General features: G+C 38.3%; 1 pseudogene, besides 1 other annotated feature; it reads right to left on the bottom strand.

The window, feature by feature from the left end:
- Nucleotides 1-713: 713 nt before the first annotated feature.
- Nucleotides 714-1,857, bottom strand: AIDAP2 (AIDA pseudogene 2; annotated as a pseudogene).
- Nucleotides 5,005-5,506: an enhancer, noted in NCBI's record as "NANOG hESC enhancer chr4:159195233-159195734 (GRCh37/hg19 assembly coordinates)". NCBI's record gives its function as "activates a minimal SCP1, AML or CMV promoter by ChIP-STARR-seq in primed H9 embryonic stem cells {active_cell/tissue: H9 hESC(primed)}" and the evidence as "EXISTENCE:reporter gene assay evidence [ECO:0000049][PMID:30033119]".

Below are 6,154 nucleotides of genomic sequence, written 5' to 3'. Positions count from 1 at the left end.
AAGAAGAGGTATGCAGGTTTTAAGGTTTCATAATCAGTTGCCAGAAAAACAGCAGTTATGCCTTCAGTATCTCGTTAGCATCTGACTCAATTATTTTTAGATTATATTGTTTAGAAGACATTGTAAACCCATCTAAAAATTTGTAATTATTTTGAGATGGTTCCAATGTTAACCCTAGAATCATCATCAGAAAGAGTAACAATGTGATGTAGAAGAACAGCTAATCAACATGACTAAAAATATGCTCATTTTCAGAAAAACAATCTGGTCATCTGGAAACAATCACGCTACAACCTAGGGAACACTCCCATGTGGGATACTGATCTGGCCAAGGCACACTTTCTAGGCAGGAAAACTATCAGATCAGGGTGAATTTAGGCCACTTCAGAGGAGCTGCCTATAAACATCCAGACAGACCTTCTTAGGCAGCAGAACTGGTCCAATTCCTCTTAAAACAGTTTGACACTACCCTACCCACATCAACCCAAAGCTTGAAGTTAAGTCAAAAGAGCATATTGGAGCAAAAGTGAACAGATGTGTAAACTCTAGGACATTCTTATTGCTGTATTAAGTTTGAAGATGAGCACATCCTACCCACAACAGTATTGTTCCAGGAAGCAGGGTAGGAGTAGTGGTAAATTAGAAAATAGACTATTAATTGCCCAATTAATAGAAAAGTAAAAACATGTTTCCAAATCTACAATAAACCTGTATCCAAAGGAGTCCTATACGTCAGTGATGTGCTGGACTCTGAATTCTGTGGTACAGCTTTGCACTGGACTCCTTCCGGCCTACTGGTCTGGGTACGGCTTGCTTCCTGCCTGTTGAAGGGTGAATACGCTACACAGAGCTATGATGGTTTCTACTGACTGGTAAAATTCACAGAAGTTCCAGGTTCATCATGTCAGTATCATTCCTTGTGCAAAGTTTGATGTAGACGAAGATAAAGTGTTTTCTTGGTCAACAATTGCAATTTCTTTCTTTTAAAGTCAGTGGGTTTCTTGTATAGTTCTATTACAATTGGCCCAGGTTTAATTTCATCCATCTCCATGAAAGCAAAACACTTGGTGCTGGTAAACCTTTTTTTAGGCTTGTAGTGTTTGAATTCAAAGAAGATAGCTGCACCTTTGATTAATTTTTCAACATGCTTCTGGAGCTCAATGTCCACATTAAAATGAACATATGTATCTTCTTTTCTTGAAGCCACAGGAGTATCTTGCACAGGAGTTAAGTCTATGCCATTCAGATCCTTTACTCTAACTGTAATATAGGGATCGATGCACTGCCCAGCATCTTTCAAACCAATTTTCTCAATTCTGATAGTGAGTAATGTCATTCCTGGTTCCAATGGCAACCCTGGTATCTAAAGCATCGGGAACTCTAGCAGGAAAAGAATCAGGAGATCCTGCTCCAGCACCACCCTCTTCTTCTTCTTCAAATTCCAAATTCTCTTCTTTACCAGGTGCCAAAATTCTTCTTAATGGGACAGGCTGAATATCAAATGGGAATTCTTTATTATATGTAAGAATATTCTTTAGGATTGGTTCTAGCTTCTTCAGGTCCTCCAGTTTAAATTCTTCTTGAGACTGTGTGGACTGTAAAGCTGCACTTCACAATTCTAAGCATGTTGCAATTTTGCCTATGGTTTTCTTTTGTTCTTCTGTGAATTCAGAATTATTGTGTTGAGCTTGGGCCTCTTTTTGTAGATGTCTTGCTAATATCTGATACTCATCTATCGCCTCCACCGGCTGGCCCCAAAAGTCGAAGTTGGCGCCTCTCCTAAAACTGGCGCCCCAGAGCTGCAGCAGACTCCAGGTCACCTCCGACATGGCCAGTCTCCACCCCGTCCCCTCCCGCAGCCTGAGGCATTTGAACCTTAAGTACTGACAGTGGGAGGCTGAAGCCTATTCAGTTGGGAGCTCTCCCAGCCACTTTCAAAGATCTTGCTTCTTTTTGGAGGCTTACTCTGCTGCTGCTAAGTCAGTTATCTTCTGTTCATAGAGTTTCTTGACTCTATGCCAGCCACTGAATTTTTTTTTTTTTTTGGTGACAGAGTTTCGCTCTTGTCACCCAGGCTGGAGTGCAATGGCACGATCCCGGCTCACCACAGCCTCCACCTCCCATATTCAAGCGATTCTCCTGCCTCGGCCTCCTGAATAGCTGCGATTACAGGCATATGCCACTATGCCTGGCTAATTTTGTATTTTTAATAGATACGGGGTTTCTCCATGTTGGTCAGGCTGGTCTCGAACTCCCGACCTCAGGTGATCTACCTGCCTTGGCCTCACAAAGTGCTGGGATTATGGGCATGAGCCACGGGCTTGGCCCTGGATTCTTAATTAATACAACAAAGGCTTTAAAAAGATGTTCCCCTTTAGAAACTGAAGAAATCCAAAGGCATGGTTTGATTGTCGGAGCTGGTGGCAAAGGTGTTTTAGCAGCTGCAGAAGTGGGAGGAAATAGTAGGAGAGACCATTATTAGTTACAGCTTGGAAGAATGTTTCCACATGAAAATGATAAATGTTTTTTACCTGTGACTTTGAAATGTAAAAAATGCCTTTCCTTTGGTGCCTTAGTCATTTCCATGTCTCTCTCCTTGTCTCTTCTTAATAGAAGTAATGAAGGAGCAGGAACAAAGCATTACACATATACTATGAATATAAATATACCTGAATCCTCTCCTGCAGCTCCTACAAAACTCCTTTAAAATACTCTTCTCCATCTTCATAATCCAATAATCAGTGGGAATATTTCCACATGCTGTCAAAATTTCAGAGATTCTTCTCTTAGGATGACAGAGTAGTAGCAGCTGCAGAGAAATGGACAGTTTTAGTAGTAACTGACATCAGTAGGAAGACTATCATGAGATGGTAGACAAAATTTGACTTTTATTTCTTTGAGGGTAGAGTAGGGATATAGCCAAAGATAAATTCATGGCAAGGGAAAATAAAATTAATGAACTAACATTTACTGAATAATTACTAACAGCCAGGTAATGTGAAGTAGACATTTTTATAAATTCTTGACCATGTCATCAAAGAGTGCACCAAAAACCACAAAGGGAGAGAGATAAGTCTGCCTTTTGAGAGCTACACAACACAATTGAAAAAATTATCCTAAAAAGAATAGGGCTACAAGACTTGGTTGTAAAATAATTGAAAGTTATATGCCTTTATTCTGAGCAAACTATCTCAAGGACAGAAAACCAAACACCGCATGTTCTCACTCATAGGTGGGAATTGAACAATGAGATCACTTGGACACAGGGTGAGGAATATCACACACAGGGGCCTGTTGTGGGGTGGGGGGAAGGGGGAGGGATAGCATTAAGGAGAAATACCTAATGTAAATGATGAGTTAATGGGTGCAGCACACCAACATGGCACACGTATACATATATAACAAACCTGCACGTTGTGCACATGTACCCTAGAACTTAGAGTATAATTTAAATAATAATAATAATAATTAAAAAAATTAAAAAAAGAAAAGCTGAGGAATTTCAAACTACTGTTAATTAAAACTGTAATCATTTCCTAAATAGGCATAAATAAAAGGGATGTTCTTGATGTTCAAAAAAAAAAAGAGAGTTATATGCCTTTCTTCAAATATTCTGTCCATAAATAGGGAAGCTCATAAAAGTAGGGGCTTAGAGAAAGACAAAACATGGAGGCAAATATCAAGAATGACCATCTAATACTCTTAAGCAGGAGCCCTCCAGACTGGCCAGAGTATTATGTCCATATGACAAATGTAGCTATGTGGAGAAAGCTAGAGTTATGTTATACACCTAAATAAATAACCAACTTTCCTTGTTCAAATTCCTCACTCAGCAAGAACCTTTCTGTTCATTTGGCTTTCCATGTAGCTCACCTTCAGGGAGAGACTGCAGCAGACAAGTTCACATGACAGAAAGCTCTCCTTAAAATTAATGTGTAGCATGGTGACTGTAGTTAATAATACTGTATTACATACTTGAAATTTGATAAGAGAGTAGATATTAAATGTTCTCACCACACACACACACACACACACACACACGGTAACAATGTGAGGTGACGCATATGTTATTAGGTTGGTGCAAAAGTAGTTGTGGTTTTGCCATTACTTTTGATTAATGACATTAAGTACGTTGCAAATTACAGTTATGTTCAAGGTCTTGAACATGACTGCACAATGCCTTGTATTATGATGCTTCCAGTGTTCAACCAGATCCTCAGCTGTAACTTTTTCATGTCAAAGACAGAGAATAGTAAGATTTAGTAAACTGTCAAAGCAACATTCTAAATTGAGTCCAAGGATCATTTGCATTCTCACTAGTTAGTTCCTCAGGAGTATGAAACATCATTAAAACATGCTGTATTTAAAGAGTTTTGCCTATTAATTAGCTTGATGGCAGTAATCATTTCACAATGTATACATATATCAAAATAGTACTTTATATATCTTAAATATATAATTTTTATTTGTCAATGATATATCAATAAAGCTGGAAAAGATTAATTTTAAAAGTTAGAGGAAAAAACCTTAATGTACAACAATGTATACTTATCTACTGTGTTTTGATAGCTTGATTCAGGATTGCTGAGGCCAGTCTACTCTGGGGCCCCGGCGATTTTTCCTTTCTGAGCTTTCAGGACTGAAGGTCAGAACTTGAGTATTGCAGAATCATTGAGGTTAAAGCCACTTGTGGATACCTAAGGGGGAAGCTGGTGAGGATTGACCTGGTGACGACCTCCTTTGTCTTATTTCACTCTTTCTTTGAACTTCTATAGGTATGATTTTCTCCATTTTACAGTCAAAGAAGATACTGAAACTCCGAAATATAATATGGCAAAGTCCACCCAGATAACAAGTGGCAGAGCTGGAGTTTAACCAATGTCTATAAAATATGAGAGCTTATTCTTTCAGTCACTACACGGTGCACCCTTCCATAAATGGTACTGAGGTATCCAGAAGTAGGAAACAGCTTTATGTCGCTACAAAGTATTATTCAATGTGGCCAACTTTGTCATATATTATTAATCCTTATTGAGTGTATGAAAAGCTCAGTTACTATATATTATGAACAAATCGAAATGAATATTCATCAGAGAAAATATAAAAAATCCTAAACAATACACACACAGATGCTACGGCTTCATGCTTAATCCTAATACATGCAGCAAAGATAGAATGTTGCTTAGAATAACCATTAAGTTGTGCTACTTACGTTTATATTTTCTAGGATAATGAAGTAAGTAAGGCCTTTCTCCTAAGTATACTTGATTAGAGCAGTGAGCACATCCTAATGAGTGCTCGATGGATGGTACAGCACGTTAATTTACATAATAATGCTTTCATTTGCATTATTTCCCTTGTTACTCCAAATAACCCTGGGTGCTAGGCAGGGTTGGTATTTTTCATTTTCATTTTACTTTGTAAAAACTGTTTCAAAGTGTCAGAAATGGTTCTCAGACCCTTTAAAGAATCCTGGATATGGAATATGGCACAAGGCTGTCTGAAAAATTGTTTTGAGTACTGACAAGCACATTGTCTTTCTTCTATTGCAACTTTAACATGCATCTGACATTATTTTTATCATTCCAGCCATTGCTTTTGCTTTGTTCCTGCAATGCAGTTAACCCAATTTGGGATCTGGCCTTTTGTCTTCTGGGATCCCAGCTTAAGTACTCATCTTCTGCCTGTTTATATGAAAAGTCTCTGAAACTTTCCCATTCTCCTTTGTGCTCTTTTCAGCTGTCTGGCAAATACTACATCTTCATAATAGATGAAGAACCCAAGGCTGAAAGAGGTTAATTAAATTATCTAGTGCCACACTACTAATAGGTGAGAGGATTGGGACTTTAGCTTTTGTTTCTCTGACACCGAACCCTGTGTTCTTCTCATTAACTACACTGCAAATTATAGTAGTGTTCAAGATCTTGAACATGACTGTCTGCACGGTGCCTTGTATTAGTTCTAATAATGATGCTTCCAGAGTTCAACCAAATCCTCAGCTGTAACTTTTTCATGTCAAAGACAGAGAACAGTAAGATTTAGTACATCATCAAAGCAACATTCTAAATTGAGTCCAAGGATCATTTGCTTTCTCACTAGTTAGTTCCTTAGGAGTTTGAAACATCACCACAACATGCAGTAGTTCAAGGTTTTT

This window comes from Homo sapiens, chromosome 4 (genome assembly GCF_000001405.40).
Source record: "Homo sapiens chromosome 4, GRCh38.p14 Primary Assembly".
In the NCBI taxonomy this organism is placed as follows: domain Eukaryota; kingdom Metazoa; phylum Chordata; class Mammalia; order Primates; family Hominidae; genus Homo; species Homo sapiens.
Note: the sequence above shows the minus strand (reverse complement) of the source record. Positions and strands in the feature narration are given on the sequence as shown.